The sequence below is a fragment of the Homo sapiens genome, chromosome 4 (assembly GCF_000001405.40).
Source record: "Homo sapiens chromosome 4, GRCh38.p14 Primary Assembly".
Classification (NCBI taxonomy): Eukaryota; Metazoa; Chordata; class Mammalia; order Primates; family Hominidae; genus Homo; species Homo sapiens.
Window position 1 is genome coordinate 38,366,885 of NC_000004.12, and position 19,738 is coordinate 38,386,622.

The window sequence follows — 19,738 nt, forward strand, 5'->3', positions numbered from 1 at the left end:
ATTCCTTCACAAATGGTGGCTCCAACTGGAATTCATTGTCCCAAATTCTGAGAACTCCTGAGGAAAGATCCAAAAGTAATATGGCTCAAGATTTTTGAACTGCCCAGGCTCTACTCAGGCTCTTGGACATCTTGCCCATCTCAAAGGTTTGTTTTTTCTCTGCAACAATGTTCAATATGGTGTAGGCAAAGAAACAGCATTTGGAATCATAAGATGAGGGTTTGCATTTCACCTCTACCTCTTTCTACATCAAAGGCATTTCACTGGCAGAACTGAAATCTCACTCAGAACCCTGGCTGCCTTCCAGATGCTAGGAGGGTAGGAGTAGATGTTTACTGTCAGCAATATCTAGTGTGGAACTTTGGTTGCTTTTGGGTAGTCCAACCTTTTGGCTTTCCTGAGCCACACTGGAAGAAGAAGAATTGCCTTGGGCCACACATAAAATACACTAACATTAATGATAGCTGATGAGCAAAAAAGACCTCATAATGTTTTAAGAACATTTACAAATTTGTGTTGGGCAGCATTCAAAGCCATCCTGGCTGCGTGTGGCCTGTGGGCCATGGGTTGGACAAGCTTGTTCTAGATGTTCATTTATTATTTCTGAGCCTCAGTTTCTCATTTGAACTATGAAGAAAATGATTGGATTATTGCTAGAATCCAGGGGAAGAATGGATTTGTAAACTGTAACGCTTGCTTTAGAGACTGGGAGTGCAAGTGGATGATAGGTCTCAGCTGTATCCCTGACCTGATGTGGCTCTTAGCCTAAGAAAGTCATCTCATCCAAGGGCTTGCCCTCTTTCTGGGGCAGCCTGTATTCAATGACCAGGGAGAAGAGAAGGGATACAAATATCTCAGTCCCCTAAAGGGCCCTCCAGCTCTTGAGCTCCCCGTGGTATCAGATGAGGATTCTACTGGAACATCATCACAGTTCAAGTTCTCTCTCTGCCCTCTCCTGTGTACCTTGCCCTGTGATCCAGGGGACAGATGTTGATCCAGAGGACACTCCTCCCAAAACCTCCTTGCACAAAAATTTCTGTCTGGGATTCTGTTTCCTGGGAAACCCAAACATCAACACTGGCTTAGCAGAAAAGGAATTTATTAAAGGATAATAAGTAGCTCATAGGATCTCTAGGAAGGCCAGCAAGCCAGGCGTGGAGAACGCGTTCTAAGAAACAAAGCCTCAGATCACTCCCTAAGATAGCTCCCTGGGAAATCTACAGAGAAAGATGGGACTCATAAAGTGGGGGATATCTTCAAATGTAGGAAGGAGATTCAGATACTGGAATCAACAACAAAAGAAAAGGCAAATGCCTGGGAAGCCTCATTGTGATGTTAGTTATGGAAATATTTGGTAATAGATTCTTGCAAAAGTACAATTATACTTTATTAGAGGTCTTTGTAGGGGTCATAATCTTAACCCACAGTCAATTTACCAGATCAGTAGAAGGGCTGTTTTTGGTCGGAGAATGGTGCACTGCCTTTGGAAGCAGAAAGTCTGGACCAAGAATAGATGCACAGTAGATAATCAAAAAATGAATCCTAAATACTCAGTTTCCCTACGGTTCAGACTCACCCTTTTCTGTACAACACTGTTATTAGTTGATCTTTCTCAGTCCCCTGGCTTCAATACTATCTTGATGATGGTGAATGCAACATTCATAGCACCAGCCTTAACCTCTCTGCTGAACTTCAGATTTATAGATTCAAACCTCTCCCCTTTAATACCCAAAAGACATTAATTAAACCAAAAAAGAAATCTTCACTCTGCCCCCAAATCTGCCTCCCCCACCACTCTTTCATTTCAGAAATTCACACTGCCCTGAGTCAGGCTGGGGCTTCATGCTCCCTTCCTGTGGCTAATAAGCCCTACTTGAAAAGATTCTCTAAATTCATTCACTTTTTTCCTTCTGCATTATGCCCTCCTGAGTCACCAGCCACTATCGCACTTGCACTATTACATCAGGCTCTGCATGAACTCCCTGCTTCCACTTCCCCGTTTAATCCATCCTTTACCAAGAGCATCATGTAATCCACCTTTGACTCTAAGTGGATTTAGAATAAAATCTAAATTCCCAGCTGTCTATAATGAGTACTCACAAACCCAGTGCTCCAGCACTGACCTGGCCTCCCCCTGCCACCCCATCCCACCTCTCTGACCTCAATCTTCTACAGTGCTCCCTCTGTCCATTAGCCTGTTCCAATCACACCCATCCCTTTTAGCTATGGGGCCTTTAGCTACAGGGCCTTCTGTGCTCAGAAGGTGCTGCCTTCAGATTGTACGAGGCTGGCTCCATCTTTCAATCAAGCCTCAACTCAAATGGCCTCCTGGAGAGAACTTGCCCATCACCCAATTTAAAATAGCCACTTTCTCTCCGGTCACTTTCTATTAGATCACTCTATTATATTTTCTTCACAGCATTTACTACCATTTAAAACTATCTGAATGTTGATTTATTGTCCTCCTTCACTTAAATACAAACTTTTTGAAAACTCCAACTTTGTCTCTCTTGTTCATGCTGCAGCCCAAGTGTCTAGATCAGTACCTGGCATGTAGGAGGCATTCCATATATATTTCTAGAAGGAATTAACCTTATTCATCAACCTGTCTTATCTACAAAAATCTAGAGTGGGACTTTTTAACCTGGGTCCATGTACCCCCAACCTGTGAAGAGAATTCAGGGACCTTGTGAACTTAGATGGGAAAAAAAAATCACATGTTTATTTCACTAATTCCTAACTGAACCTAAACCACAGTAGTATTAGCAGTACACATGATTTTATTGTTAATGTAAATCATAGGCATTTTCACAAGACATTATGATATGTATCAGATATGTCAAGATACCATTTATGTTCATTGTTACTTCAAAATTGTGATAGTTATTAGGTTCACTGCTAGATTGATATTTAATGCATTAATAAAGAACAACATAGAGTATTATACTATAAGAACTTTCTAATTAATTTTAAAAATCTAATAAAAAACCAAAGAACAATAAAAATATTAAATTAATTGATTTCCATTGTAATCCTATATACTTATTTTATGCATTTAAAAACATTGATCTGGCTGAGTGCAGTGGCTCATGCTTGTGATCCCAGTACTTTGGGAGGCCAAGGTAGACTGCTTAAGTTCAGGAGTTCAAGACCAGCCTGGGCAACATGGCAAAACCTCATCTCTACAAAAAATACAAAAAGTTAGTCAGGTGTGGTTGCGTTTGCCTGTGGTCCTAGCTACTCAGGAGGCTGAGGTGGGAGGATTGCATGAGCCTGGGAGGCAGTGGTTGCAGTGAGCTGTGATTGCGCCACTGAATTCCAACCTGGGTGACAGAGTGAGACCTCCTCCCCGCAAAATAATAATAATAATAGTAATAATTTTAAAAACTCACAATCTTAGGAGGTATCTATGGGCCTTGCCAGATCACCAAAACAGGGCATGTAAAAGGTTAATGTATAGAACTGAACTGTCAAATATGGTAGCCACTATCCACATGTACTTTTAAAAGTTGTTATTATTATTATTTTAGAGACAAGGTCTCACTACATTACTTTATTATCAATATAAGTCATATAATCAATATAAATCAATCACCCAAGTTGGAGTGTGGGTGGCATGATCATAGCTCACTGCAGCCTTGAACTCCTTGGCTCAGGCAATCCTCTTGCCTCAGCCTCCCAGGTAGCTAGGACTATAGCCTTGTACCACTATGCCCTGCTCATTTATTTTATATTTTAGTTTTTTTGTAGAGACAGGGGTCTCACTATGGTGCCCAGGCTGCTCTTGAACTTCTGGTCTCAAGGGATCCTCCCAACTTGGCTTCCTAAAGCACTGGGATTATAGGCATGAGCCACCATACCCAGCTCGCATGCAGTTATTTAAATTTAACTTTAAATTAATTAAAATTCAATGAAATTCAAAATTTCAATCTTGAGTAACACCAGTCACATTTCCAGTGCTCGATAACCACATGTGGCTAGTGGCTACCATGGAGGGCAGTGCAGATTCAGAATATGCCCATCATATTCTGGAGTTCAATGCTTAATTTCTGATTTGTCTTTTTACTGCCATAATTTGTCTCTCCTCCATGCCCAATATTATGGACTACATATTCAAACAGTAATATTAGGGATGGGGTGGGGTCAAAGTGACTTTATCTTAAGATTCTTGCTGCTTTCCTTTTTCATCTAAACCTTTACTCCATCTCCAATCCCTGACCTTTCCCTGATTCTGAGAGTGGAGCCAGCCAGGGCAGTCCAGCAACGCTGTACCTCCTTTGCATCCTTCTCAGGTTCCTATCTTGGTCTAGACCAGAGGATATAACTAAGAATATCAAAGACAGAGTGAAGAAGCTCAGACTGGGACAAATGGGGCCATAGGCTCTGCTCTCAAGAGCCCTGCTATACCTGTCCCCTGGCCTAGAGGGAAGAATGGCCATGCTAGGGTATATTGTGGATCTGTCCACCAAGCTGGCACCTGAAAAGGAATCCCAGCTAGATCCCAGAGAGTCCAGAGTGCCAGAGAGGGCTGAGATGGAACTGAGTCAGCTGGGAGGATCCTGAACCCTGTCCAAGCCAGGAGAAAACAGACCACAAGTGCCCCAGCTGCATACATCAGCAGGACACTTCCTCTGAACAGCCTGTGTGAATAGCAGTCTAATCACCCCCACAAATGCCAGCTAGCTCACAGCTATGCACTAGCACAATTTGAGGGGCCTCCCTCTCCCCCACTGGCCCAAAGTGCCTTCCTTCCACATTCCCAGATACCATCTTAGAGAGAACCAGGAAGAATATTGTAAATTGGAAAAACTGACTCACTCCAAAGAGACTGCTTACTGGAATAGCCTGAGTATACCAGATTGGTCTAAAATTCAGTTTACCAGAATCTCTCATTAGTCAGTGGTGTGGGGGTTAGGAAACATTTAAAGACCATAAAATTATAGAGCTACATTTTCTTTGCACTTCTGAGCCTAGAGTGAGTAAGTCTGAGACTGAACTCTACTGAATCATGCAGACTGCTTTTCTGGGCAAAATATGGCCCTAAACATCTTCTGGCACTTGGTAAATTAGTTTCTTGTAAGTCTTCCTTAACTAAGGGGAGTGGGGAGTTTTCAACTACTGGAGTTGTATTCCAACATCATTGTACTCTTTTCACCTTCCTGGGCTCCTACAGCAAGATAGCCCAGTAGCCCCTGGTCTTCCAGTCCCCCAGCACTGCTTCTGGCCAGGCTTACCTCTGTGATGCTGGACGCTGATGGGGCCAGTGTCCTGCTTCTTCAAAACAGGGCAAGCAAAATGCCTTGTCTATGGGTGTTGGAGATAAAGATGGAGATAATCATCAAAGTCTTCCTTCTCCTTGCTAGCGGTGCAGCATAAGTGTGTGTAGGAAGGAGGTGATTGGAGAATAGAATCAGCAGAAAATAGAGCACATTGCTTAAGGAGAGGTCTACTGGCTTGGAAAAACCTACAGCAGTTGAAAATTTCAGCTCAGTTCCTTTCCCAAGAGGAGTACTACTGGCTTTCTTTCCAAGTCTAACTCATTAGGCATCAAAACTCAAGTTAATTGGCTAGTAGTTTTAATTGTGTGCATATATATGTTCTGCTTTGCACTGGATTGAAGAATATCCTTCCAAAATGTATGTTCACCCGGAATCTCGGAATGTGATGTTATTTGGAAACAGGGTCTTTGCAGATGCAATTAGTTAAGATGAGGTCATACTGGGTTAGTACTCCCTAAATTCCATATGACTAGTGTCCTTATTATAAGAAGAGAAGACGCACATGCGCGCACCTACATAGACACACACAAAAATACACATATGCACAGAATGCACGTGATGATAAAGGCAGAGAATGCAGTGATGTGTCTACAAGCCAAGGAATGCCAGCCACCACCACAAGTTAGGAAGAGGCAAAGAAGGATTTCCCTAGTTTCACAGGGTGGATGATTTCAGATTTCTAGCCCCCAGAAATTTGAGACAATAAATTCCTGTTGTTTTAAGGCACCTAGTTTGTGGAACTTTGTTACAGCAGCTCTGAGGAACTCCCACATGCTTATAAGGGGTCAGAATGATAGAACACTTAAATAAGCCCAGGCTAATGGGAACACCAGTCTTCAACAACAACACCCTCTAACATTTAAAGGGGCCCAAGCGTAAAGTCTACAGCAATTGTTACTAGAAGGTCCAGCCTGCCCCTGACCTATTCTGCAGCTCTCCTACCACATTCCCAGTCCAAGACCCTTTAATCCAAGCACATTGTTTCCCCTCCTTAGTTCCTCTTTCACCTCTCCTGTCCAAGAAGAGCACAACACCCAAAACAGTGTTCCTGGCCAGGTCCACTCTGCACTGCCAGTCCCCTGGGGAATGTAATTCCTTTACTTCCTTTTCAGGGTTTCTCAGGCTAATCTGACTGCCAGGCAGCTTCCTTGCCTTAGAGAATGGGCGGGTGGGGGTGGGGGGGTGGGGCGGCGGAAGTTAAGCAGGAAGGGGAAGAAGACAAGCTCTGACCACCACCCAGGAAACATTTTTATCCAACCATCACCATCTTCACTGTGACTAAAAAATTACCTTTTTTGTTTCCTTTGAAGGAATAATTTAATTGATGAAGCAGATACATAGAGCTCAAGCCTTCAGAAACCTCTGCAGTATTCATTGAATGAGAAGCTCACACTCCTTCTTGGTCATTTATTACTCATTCATGGACCATCAGAGTTTGCTTTCCTCTAACTGAAGGTCTAGGAAGGAAATCAGTTGAAATAGGAGAAGGGGACTAAAGATTAAATACTGAAAGAGGAATCTTCTCCCCTTCTCTTCTCTCACCTCCAAGTGTTTGATGCTATGTCAAATAATGTTAATTACAAACAATAATATGAAGGTGCTTCAAATGCACAATGTTTTCCTAAGAAAATGTATTATAGCTACTTTACAACTCAGACTATAATTAAGTGGACTAAAGGGGAATGTATGAAATACAGAGCATGAACTTTCCTTAGAGGTTTAAAAAGAGAAAAATGCGGATATCGGTAGGGAACTCCTTTACGGTTCCTTTTGAATAACATGATTCATATTACTTTTTTAAAAGAATATTTTTAACTGCCTGGCTCCCTTTGTATTTTTTAAAAGGCCATGGAGACGTATGGCTAGGTCTTGGGGAGACATAGTAATTAGAGACATAAGAATAGCTAGCACAATTTCTCATATGGAAAATGTCTCAACTGTGGTCATCACGACATGGGTTTGGGAATACGCCACCTCATTCCACAAGACAAAGCTGGGAGAAAATATGTTAGTCATAGGGATGTGGAAGTGAATTCCCCAAAAAACAAAACACATGCTCCCCTGTACACCTTTGAAAATACCACATTTATCATAGGCCACATTTTATTTATAGAATGCTGTGTTATCTACCGCCACTTGAAATGAGAGACCTAGAATAAATATTTTTTGGTCAATGAGTTTTGGATTTTACATTTTCCCAAGTTTTCAACTTCCTTGATTACTCACGCGGAAAGCATTCTAAGGAGAGAGATTTCAGAGTTGTTTACTATGATGAACAGACTTTAAGTAGCCTCATGATCCTTGTCTCCTGGAATTCACATCCTTGTTTTGTTTTGTTTTGTTTTGTTTTGTTTTGTTTGAGACAGAGTCTCGCTCTGTCACCCAGGCTGGAGTGCAGTGGCGCGATCTCGGCTCACTGCAAGCTCCGCCCCCTGGGTTCATGCCATTCTCCTGCCTCACTCTCCTGAGTAGCTGGGACTACAGGCGCCCGCCACCACGCCCGGCTAATTTTTTTGTATTTTTAGTAGAGACGGGGTTTTACCATGTTAGCCAGGATGGTCTCCATCTCCTGACCTTGTGATTCACCCATCTCGGCCTCCCAAAGTGCTGGGATTACAGGTGTGAGCCACCGCGCCTGGCCACATTCTTGTACAATTGTATAATTCCCTCTCTTTGAGCATAGTTAGGCCCTGTGACTTGCTCCTAACCAATAGAATATGGCAAAACTGGCGGGATATCACTCCTCTAATCACATTACATTATGTAAGACTGTCTTGTTAGCAGACATGCTATAGTGTCTTGCTTTCCTTGACGAGTTTGAGGAATCAAGTTCCCATGAGTTGTATAGCTGCAAAAAAATGAGTAACAACTAAATAAATTAAATAAGCTTGGAAGCACACCTTTCCCCAACTGAACCTCCAGATGAGAACCTAGCCATGGATGACACCTTTATTGCAGCCTTTTAGAGGACCAAGATTAGCTGTGCTGGAAACTGTGACATAATAAATGTGTGTTGTTTGAAATCACTAAGTTTGTGGTAATTTGTTATGTAGCCAGAATTTTTAAAAAATGGATATACTTGCTTTTGCTAACTTACTTTTCTGACCCAGTATTCTTGTATTGAGTTTATCTCTCCACAAGTTTGAAAACTCTTGGTCTTTTGTTGTTTTCATGACCAATATATATTACATCCACCTACACAAGGATACTCTTTTCTTTATTGTAGAAGTGACTTAGGTCACAGCAATAAAGAAGAGCCTTGTATGAACAACAGTATTTCTCAATTTGCCCATATTTCAAGCCATCTTGTGATTTGCAGCGGCAAGTAATTCTCACACTCCTCCTTAGAATGGAGGTTGAACTTTGTTCAAAAACCCAGTCTGACTGCTGGTGGGACTGTAAATTGATTGAAACTTTCTGGAGGGCATGGTTGTAATACATATCTAAGCTCTAAGCATATGCATGCTGTTTGGCTTAAAAATTCCCTTTCTCGAAATTTATCTCAAGAATATAGTCAGACAAGCATTCAAAGAAGTATGATAAGGATGTGCACTACAGCATTGGGTTATCATTATTATTATTGTATAAATTTAAGGGATACAAGTGCAATTTTGTTACATAGCTATATTGTGTAGTGGTGAAGTCTGGGTTTTTAGTGTATCCATAACCCAAATAATGTACACTGTATCCATTAAGTAATTTTTCCATCATCCATTTCCCCCTCAACCCCTCACCCTTCAGAGTTTCCACTGTCTATCATTTTATACTTTATGTTCATGTGTACACATTTTTAGCTTCCACTTATAAGTGAGAACATGTGATATTTATCTTTCTGTGTCTGAGTTGTTTCACTTAAGATAATGGCCTTCAGTTCCATCCATGCTGCTGCAAAAGATATGATTTCATTCCTTTTTATGGCTGAATTGTATCTCACTGTGTATATATGCCACATTTTCTTTATCCAGCCATCCGCTGATTGACACTTAGATTGACTCCATATCTTTGTTATTGTGAATAGTGCTGTGATGAACATATGAGTGCATGTTTCTGTTTGATATAATGATTTCTTTTCCTTTGGGTAGATACCCAGTAGTGGGATTGCTGGAATGAATGGTAGTACTATTTGTAGTTCTTTAAGAAATCTCCATACTATTTTCCATAGAGATTGTGCTAATTTATATTCCCAACAGTGTATAAACATTCCCTTTTCTCCATATCCTTGCCAACATCTGTTTTTTTTTTCTTTTTAGTCATAGCCATTCTAACTGGTATAAGATGATATCTCATTGTAGTTTAAATTTGCTTTTCTTATGGCATTGTTTATGACAGTAAAAAATTAAAACTTGAAGACAACCAAAATGGATAAAATAGGCAGTAGGTATTATAACTTAGAAACTATCAGCACAATGAAATACCATGTAGCCATTTAAAACTGTGCTGCAGTAGCTGGGGCATGGTGGAATGCACCTGTAGTAGTCCCTACTCGGGAGGTTAAGGTAGGAAGATCACTTGAGTCAGGAGCTTGAGGTTGCAGTGAGCTGTGATCATGCCACTTCATTCCAGCCTAGGCAATAGAGCAAGATCCTGCCTCAAAAAAAAAATTTGAAAAAAGAGGGGAAAATAATAACACCTATCTAGTGAGGTGGTTGGGACAGTGACATGAAAGAAAACTTTGCTGCTGATATATAATTTTGGTCAAAAGACAATGTAAGCAAAACAAAAAAGAATCTATGAGAGAATGTGTGCTATGTCCCCCAGTTATGTGGTGTACATAGGTGTGTAAAATATACATACACATTGAAAATAAAACTATTGTCCAAATGTTAACAGTGATTACACCTGAGTAGCAAAATCATGCATAATTTTATTAATTTCCTTGTTATATCTTCTAATGTCTTCACAATGTTCACACATAATTTATGCAATTAAAAAATTCCTAATGTGGATTTTGCTTTTTTTAAAAAATGATGCTCCCTGTTTCTAATTCCTGGTCCCTAGGTGGGCTGGGTCTTGCTGTTGGCCCAGAGACCCCATGAACCAGCTGTCTGATATTGAGAAAGTGGTCTGTGCATACCGGGTCTGTATCCTCCCTCTTCCCTTCCCCTGAGAGTTTGCCACATGCATGGGCATCCAGGTATCTCCCAGTCTTTTCCCCCAAGCTCCCCCAACTGACTCATACTTCAACAACCACCCAAGCTGGAAAGATCATTTTACCACAGCAATGTGTTTATATCAGTCCCAAAATGCTGTGCAACAGGTCCAAACTTAATCATCCAAAACAACCCTTGTGCTGGATGTTGGTGACAGAAATTGCTTTGTAGAAATGTTTAAATGCTCAAGGAGTAGAAGGCTGTGAAACCACAATTGTTTGTCCTGTAAACATTTATTAGATTACCACTGTCATCTGTGGAAAACCATTTACAAAAAAATGCACACATTCTGTATTTTTATTGTTTATCTTGAAAATAAAGTTATGTTGTGTTTAATGTGTTTCAGTTTTTGCTTTTATTTTTATCTTCTAGATTCTTCCTTGAAGTGCTTTAAGAGTGAAAAGAGATGCAGACAGTGTAGGAGAGAAAGGTTAGGATGGTCCAGAAAACGAGAAGGGTAGAGCATAAGAGTTTGGGAATTTAGAGTGACTGGGTATCTGCCATGAGCCAGAGTCTGGGCCAGGTGCTGGGATACACTCCCCATTCATGAAAAAGGCCTCGGGAAGGCTTAGAAAAGATCAAAGACAACAGAGAGAAGGATTAGGGCAAAAAAAAGAAGATAGTAAAAGGGCAGCAAATGGAGACCTTCTAAGTCCATACCCATTTGGAAGTCACTAAATAGGAATACTTTGGAAAGCCAGAAAGGGAGAGAAAAAGCCAAAAAGGAGGGACTCCCTTGTGACGTTCCTTTTCCCAGTCCAGGATCACAAATGGGCCCATTTGTTGGGAGGTCAAATGTACAGTCTGTGTTCTTGTTGAAATGGGGCATGGGGCTGAAATTATGCAGGAACTGGGGTAAGGTGAGGGTAAGGAGGAGATTAAGAAGAGAGGAAAAAGTTACTATTTATAGGTAATAGCCTAACTGAGTGAGGAAGAGAAAGAAGGGATGGGGAAGACTATAGTAATTCCTTTATATGATTGTGAAATCTCCCTTAGTACTTACACCAATAGTAGAAGCCACACTATCAACATTTGTTAGCTTCTTGATACCCAATTCTCACAGGGTGAAGAGAAAAGGGCCAGGTGACACCATTCACACAGGGAGTTTTGTTACAGAAGAGGAACCTGAACTTAGGGAACCTGAATCTTTTGTAATAGCAGTAAAAATTCTGCCCTTTGCCTGGAGAGAGAGGGACTATCTCCATCTTCCAAGGCTGTTCACTATACAAACATTCTCAAAAAGATATTTCAGAGCAAAGATACTCAGTGTCTCTGCTTACGAGATGTGTAGAAACTAGAGAAACTCACAGAAAATTGTCTCCCAACAAGTTTCTTTCCCAATATGCACAACATGACGGCATGCTTGTTCTGGAATTGGCTGATTATAGAGTCCAGAACTCAGAATAAAGAAAATAAAGACGGTCATTTTTTAAAAACTATAAAGTAGTCAGTTAATCTTTACTTTCCCTCTGACCTCTCCAGAATTTCTTCAAATGATTCCTAACTCATTTGGCAGTTGAGTGAAGCCCAAGCTTCTACCTTCCTCCCTTTACCCCTCTCAAAGCTCATCTTCTCCGAGTCTTATTCTCTTTTGATTCCATCATGATCTCTCAACAAACTTATTTTTATTTATTTACCAAACACAAATCCATGCTCTGTTTTAAGCATTTTACTAATATTAACACGTTTAATCTTTTAACACCCTATAAGGTGAGTACTATTATAATACCCATTCTTCAGATGAGAAAATTGTGCCAAGTAATGGTTATTCTAATACGATACACATACTTTTGTGAAAATAAGCAGTCATTGCTAAAGTTTTAAATGATTCTAGAATGATTCTAGACATTTTTTGTTGTTGTTGTTTTATTTTTGTTTTTGTTTTTGTTTTGAGATGGAGTCTCACTCTGTTGCCCATGTTGGAGTATAGTGGTGCGATCTTGGCTCACTGCAACCTCCTCCTTCCAGGTTCAAGCGATTCGCCTGCCTCAGCCTCCCGAGTAGCTGGAACTACAGGCACCCCCCACCACACCTGACTAATCTCTTTTTTTTTTTTTTTTTTTTTTAGTAGAGGCAAGGGTTTCACCATGTTGGACAGGCTGGTCTCAGACTCCTGACCTCAGGTTATCTACCTGCCTCGGCCTCCCAAAGTGCAGGGATTACAGGCATTGAGCCACCGTGCCTGGCCTAGAAATGTTTAAAGGACTTGTGAGGAAAACAAGAAGTGACCCGAGCTACTATTATTTAGTAGTATAGTCATGCGTCTCTTAATGATGGGGATACATTCTGAGAAACACATTGTTAGGCCTTTTCATCTTTATGCAAACATCATTGAGTGTACTTACATAAACCTAGATGGCATAGCCTACTATACACCTTGGTTATATGATAGAGCCTATTGCTCCTAGGCTACAAACCTAGACAGCATGTTACTGTACTGAATATTGTAGGAAATTGTAACACAATGCTAAGTATTTGTGTATCTAAACACAGAAAAAGTACAACAAAATATGGTATAAAAGATTTTTTAAATGGTGTACCTGTATAGGTACTTACCATGAATGAAGCTTGCAGGACTGGAAGTTGCTCTGGGTGGGTCAGTGAGCGAATGGTGAGTGAATGTGAGGCTTAAGACACTACTGCTCACTCCTGTAGACTTTATAACACTGTATGCTTAGGCTACACTAAATATATTTTTAAAAATTAAATGATTACGCTACCACACTATGTCATCTACAAAGTCACTAGGCAATAGGAATTTTCAGCTTCATTATCATCTTATGGGACCACCGGGACCACCATGGTACATGCAGTCCATTGTTGATGAAAATGTCATTATGCAGTGCATGACCGTACTTTATTAGGAGAAATTTCAGGACTGTGGAGGATACTTTGGGGAAAGGAACCTGTTCACCTCCCCTTCAATCACTCTCCCAGAATTATCATATGTGGTGAGGTGCAGGGAGTTTTCAGAACTACCTGGTTCAGATTCACTTTTAGCAATTTGTTGGTTATTTTTCCACAGCCAGAACCATGTTTAGTTCACTGCTGTATCCCTGGTGTCCAGCCAAGGGCCCAGTTCCTCATGGGGGCTCAGAAGTGTGTTGAATAATTGACTGAGTGAGTGAATGAATGAATAGGAACCAGAAACTTCATGGGTCACTTCGGTAGGGAAGTGCTCCTGGATTAGAATCACCAGATTTAATCGCATCTTAAATCCAAGGATGAATCTATGTCTCAGTGCAAAAAGGGCAGAAGTTAAACCAGGCATACAAGATAATAGAAGAAACTAGAACCAAATGCATATTTTTAAAATAATTTGATTGGAAATAACAACAACAGGGGATTAGAGAGAGGAATGAAGATGAGGTTGAAGGCGAACAAGAATTCCTTGGGCCAACCCGAATAAATTGAACATAAAGTAAAAAGGCAATAGGCAAAACTAGCAGGCAGCCAGAAATGTTAGGTGCTCCAGTTCTAAGAAGTAACTGGAGAAGGAAGTTGATAGAAAGTAGGGAAAGAATATTAATAATGATAATGGTTACCATTTATAGATAATATTCTGTTCCAAGCAGGATTCTCACTGCTTTGAGTTTATTAATTCACTTCAGCACAACTCTTTGACTTAGATTCTATTATTATTATCATCACTATCTTGCAAATGATAAAACTGAGTAACAGAGAGGTTAAGTAACTTGTTCAAGGTCACACATCTTGGAAGTAGCAAAGCTGATGTTTGAACCTAGGCAATTTGCTCAGAATCTGCACCATTCACAAATTGCCATTTATCACCTCTCCTATAGCACAGACTGCCTCTATGTTAGGGCAGCAGCCATGTCAAAAAAAAAAAAATTCAACAATCTAAGTTTTTTAAAACATATGTTTCTTATGCAAAAGGCCTTCACCGGGACTCCTTAACCAGATTGCATCTCTCCTCAAGCCCTTCCCATGTAGAGATTCTGGAGCCACCATCTTGCTAAGGGTTGGTTGAGAGTTAAAGACCACTTGAGACCCTTCAGAACAGAAAGCAATTCAACTGTTCAAAAACTAGTGATTCCTTAAAAATTAAACATGGTGGGGAAAAATTAAGGTGTTGGGGAGATGTTCCAGATTACCAGTGATTAAAGAGACATTACTACCAACACAATGCGGATACTTCTTTTTTTAAAAAACAGCTATAAGAGATAATTGGAGAACAGTTAAGAAATGACTATGATTATGAATTGGATAATTGATAATAGCAAGGGAATTATTGTTAATTTTCTCAGCTCTGATAATGCTAATGTGGTCATGCAGGAAATGTCCTACAATCTTCAGAGATGCACGGGGAAGCTTTTAGGGCTGAAGTGTCATGATTTCTGAAACCAACTTTCAAATGGTTCAGAAAGAAAAATAGAAAGATTGGTTTGTAAGTTAAACATGGCAAATGTTAACAATTGTTGAATCTGGTAGAGGCTAGACAGCTGTGCACTGAAATATTCTTTCAGGTTTTCTGCATGTAATTTTCATAATAATAAGTTTTGGGTGAAAGAGCCTGGGGTGAGGAGACAGTGATTGCTTACAGATTGGCCAAAGAAGGCCGGGAACTTGGCCAATGCGAAGGCCTTCGGGGATGAGTTAAAAAGCTCGGTCTTGACCACATGGGGTTGAATGCAAATTCTTTCTCAATAAAACAGAAACACAGAACTGGACCAAGGATTCAAGTACTGGATGGGAGATTTGGCAGTCCTTCCAATAAAGTTAGCAGTGGCAGCTGTAGTGGTGATAAAATCGCCTGGACTCTGCTGTAAAATCAAGAAGACCAAGCTGAAGTTCCATGTGGAATATGCGTGGTCCAGTGATTTTCTGTGAATAGCTGGGACCTGTCTGCCAGGGTTGAAACCCTCACTCAATGGCTCACTAGTCTAGTGACCTTGGACAAGTCACTTAACATTTCTGACACGCAGTTTCCTCTGCTAGTACTCATCTCCTGGAATTGTTATGTGTGGAGATTAAATAGGACAACATATATAAAATGCTTAACACAAGATATGGCCCACAGTGAGCACTCAACAAACATTGCTCTCATTTTCACTGCACAGGGAGAAGGATAGGGTAAAAGAGAAGGCTTGTTTGCCACTGACTGTAGCAGCAAAAGCAGCCCAACCCACATCTTCTGCCACTTTGTTTACAATTACATGTATGTTCGGGTTATTTAATTTCTTTCTTTTAAGTGAAATTGTGTGGCCCGGGGTTAGCAGGGATGCTAATGAAGTTAAACAACGGAGGAGATTACGCCCTAGCATGGAAAATAAACATTGAGGTCCCTGCTTCAGCGTTTATCTTCAATGATACCTCATCTTTGCCTGGGTAATTATCTCTCGACAGCAGACAGTGCTCCAGCAGCAACGGATAATTCCATTAACATTACCACTTAAACACAGCCTCTCCAGGCTGCTCAGGTCCTCCGGTTGCTTGCTAAGCCTTAGGGGCCTCATATCATTTTGGAATTAAAATGACAGAGTAAATTATTCAAGCACATTTGGTTTTTTCCTAAGCAAACCTCTGCACATCCTTGACTCATCATTTCCCCCCAAAAGCATTGCTGCTGAGAATATTAATTGTAGCAACTCAGTGCTAGCTTTATTATGAAATTTGAGGGTTGGTGATAGTGGAACACTGCTAGTCCTTGGTGAGCTGGTTTCTAATTGTCTGAGGATGAGAAATAGGTGAAAAGGTGGCCTCCTCTGAAAGGGAAAAGTAAGTTTCATGTTTTCTGGAGACTTCTAAATGCCACAAAAGAATTCTGGCCAAAAAAAAAAAAGGAAGAAAAAAGAAAAAATCCAGATCATGTGTATACTTAGGCATGGTGGTGACCCAGAGACCAAGCAAAACAAAAGAAGCAAATTTCATGAGAAAATCCAGCTAAAATTTCATTATTTAAAATGAGTGTGTACTCTCTGTCTAGGTGTCTGTTCCCCAGCCCTGTCTTTGACTGGTCTCATTGCTGGGTGGCATCTTTAACAGAGAGTGTGCAAGAGCCATTGGCAGCAATCTCCTGTGTGGTTGGAGCCTAGCAGTTTACAAGGAGCTTCCCTACACATTGTATCACAATGACCTTGCCAGGTTAGTGGTGCACACCCTGTTCCATGTCACAGGTGAGGGCCCTGAGGCCTACAAAGGTAAAATCACCTACCCGACATTCCATGTCAAATATGGTGGCAGGAGGACTTGAATAGAAGTCTTTGGAGTCGGAAGATCCTACATGGCTTCACGAGAGAAGGGAAAATGTTTATCATTTCATTTTCCTGTGCAGAAAGGACTTCAGCCTTTCTGTCAATGCTAAAGATCTATCTTCTTTCAAAGATAGGAAGTCAGGGTGTCTGCAAAGCACATATTTTCCCACTGGGCTGACCCCAAGTTGACCTTTATACTCCTCTCCACTATCTGTTAATTCCTTGTGTCTGGGTTCCAATGGAAGTGTGGACAGAATGAATGAATGAAGTGAGATAATGGTTGCCTCTCTCACAAAGCTAACACATAGTAGGCTCTCGAAAAAGGCTTCGTCTAATTAAAAAGCAATATTTATTTACTAGCTCTGGCAGCAGATTTGGTCAGCAAAGAGGTCAAAGGGTTGACTTGAATTAGGTTTGAAGGTTGGCTGGAATTCAATTACCCATGACCCTCTAGTCTCTCCTGCCAGCCATGATTAATGGAGGCTGGCTAAAGTAGGATGGGGTTAGTAACACTGAAATCAACCTTCTCTGGAGAATAAAGACGCTGAAATTATCTAAGGAGCATTCTCAAGCCAGATGAGATTTCTTAGGTGGGAAATAACCTTGTGATTCAGCCCAATAACATCAGGGATCAGATCCAGAGACAAAGGACATGCACAATAAAGCTGGGGAATCCTTGCTCCTAATTTTTTCTGACAATCACAGGGGCCTCGTCACCCTGCCTAACATGGATAAATTATCATCAAGGGCTGTGGATGGTTTGGATCTGGATTTTTAAACATCTTGCTTGAGGATATTTGGGGTATACATTAGGGAAAAAGGTCAATTAAAAATCAGATAACTGCATCATTTAAAATAAGAAGAGACTCTACCCTGATCATCACCACTTTCCTTTTTCCCAATACAGATTTTTCCCTCTCGGCCTCGCCCTAATGTTGATCTAATTGCCTTCTCACAATACAAGAAGGCCTTGAAAACTCGGGATTCAGCTACAGGTTTCTTTTTATATTAAAACTTTCTTTTGGAGCTGATCTCTTAGAAGATATTTTGAAAATATGAAGATAATAACAGTTTCTTGTTTGCTTGTTTTCTGTTATTATTTACTAACTTTTTTGAATAAATTTTCAACTTTTTCCAGTCCTTTTGCTTTTGTCTAGCAATGTCTTATGCAGTAGGTAAGGGAAGCTCAAGGAGACATTTTTCCTTTTTGTTATTGTTCTAAGTCTGCACCTCAGTTTCTGTCCTGCTTTGTTTTCAGAGCTCAAGTTCTGTAGCCTATCCTAATTTGCAAGGCTGGCTTATGAGACAAGTTAAGGAATCATTAAGGCACCTACCCTTTGCCTCTTCATTGGCCAAGTAGCTTAATTAACTTAGTTGAAATGCAGTCTAGTATTATGAGAGCAATTGCATTTGTGTATCTTAATAACTTACCTGTCCTCATGCAATAGTCCACATCCCTCTAATAAAAATATATACATGCACATGCGCTTTGACGTATCGATATTCAAGCTCACAAAATAAGCTCAAACTTGAAAAAGATCCAGACTACGGCAACGTTTATTATTTTTAGAGCATAACCTAGTCATTTTGATTAATTCGTTTGGATTGCTTTTTCCTGCAGCTCCCCAGGGAGAGGTGGGAGGAAAAGGCGGTAAAAACATAAATTTTCTTTGGTGATGAGTTCGCATGTTTAGAACTGTAACATGGCAAATCATTGTGAAATCTTCTAATGGATGCCTGTCTCATGCCAAATAAGCCCAGTACCCAAAGCACATCAAGAAATAATTGAAAGACACTGGACTGAATCCAAAAGGTTGTGGCTAATGTTTCACCTAATCTCTCTCCCAGGTCTCTCCTGCCTACTGCCGGCCCTACCCACAAGATGTGAACTTCAGAGCCTTCTTGCAACTGCTTCTTGGCTATTTTCACCCTCTAACCCTCTGGAAGAAGAATGAGGACTATTATGAAGGCAAAAGCATAAAAGGGGAAAAGATTAGCCTCCAGAGTAGGAAGATTGGGTTGTTGGAAGCCAGCACAAGTCTTCCCCTGAAAGAGTTAATTCGCCTCCAATGGGGGTAGGGACTGACCTGGGAGGGGCCTCAGCCTACATAGGACAGGCCTAAAGGCCCCATTGGGGCTGAAGGTGACACTGGGTCAGATCCCTAGGATTCTGCAACTTGAGGTGGGAGTGTCTATAAGCTGGAAACAAAAGTTTCAAAAAAAAAAAAAAAGCTCATTTTGTTTTCAATTCGTTTTATCTTGGCTCTATCTCAGGCACCACTGACTTCAGACCTTTCAAAGCTAAGGGTGGGGTAGGGTGGGGCTTAGTGATTTTTTTTCTTAAAGAGAGAGAACAGGGAATGTGCCTTGAACATGCACAATTTGCTTGAACATGATCATAGTCATTAATAAAAACATTGAGCAATATTTGCTTCTATGTCTTTGGAACTGGCATTTGCAAAGGTAGCATTGACAGATCAGAGAACAGAAAGGAATTCTGCGGTTACTCGTGGAGGAATTTGGACCTGTGAGATATTCATGATGTTAATTATTTATAATTTCAGTTGTTTTAGGCCAGGCTTTGAGCTTCAAGATAATGTGCTCAGAATTGGCAACAAAAATGGTCATTTTTTTGCTAGTAATTACTGGCTTTGAGCTTCAGCTATTTTAGAAGGACACAGAGAGATCTTTAGATCATGTATTCCTGACTTAAGCAAGGAAGGAAAGAAGGAAGGAAGGAAGGAAGGAAGCAAGGAAGGAAGGAAAGAAGGGAGGGAGGGAGGGAGAGAAAGGAAGGGAGGGAGGGGAGGAGGAGGAATAGGAAGAAGAAAAGAAAGGAAAGAAGGAAGGAAGGAAAAAGTAAGGCAGGGAGGCAGGCAGGAACAAAGAAAGAAAGGAAGAAAAGAAGTAAAAAAAATTTTTTTAAAGGACAACCCACAAAACCTCAGAATTTAACTAAGTTCCAGGCCTGAAATTTATTTTTTTGAACAATAGAGATGCACTATACTGTAAGAAAACACAACATGTAAAAATTCAAACTTGCCAAACTAAACAGAGAGAAGTTAAACATTTTACAGGAAAATTTGCTACTAGG

At 40.6% G+C, this 19,738-nt stretch overlaps 1 long non-coding RNA gene across 1 annotated transcript, besides 1 other annotated feature; it reads left to right on the plus strand.

Annotated features, from left to right (window-relative positions):
• On the plus strand, positions 30 to 18,875 carry LINC02513 (long intergenic non-protein coding RNA 2513). Its single transcript, NR_149123.1, has 2 exons — positions 30 to 146; positions 18,493 to 18,875. It is a non-coding gene; the product is annotated as a long intergenic non-protein coding RNA 2513 (long non-coding RNA).
• Positions 18,604 to 18,898: an enhancer, noted in NCBI's record as "tiled region #4229; K562 Activating DNase matched - State 5:Enh". NCBI's record gives its function as "activates a minimal TATA promoter and a strong SV40 promoter by Sharpr-MPRA in K562 cells {active_cell/tissue: K562}" and the evidence as "EXISTENCE:reporter gene assay evidence [ECO:0000049][PMID:27701403]".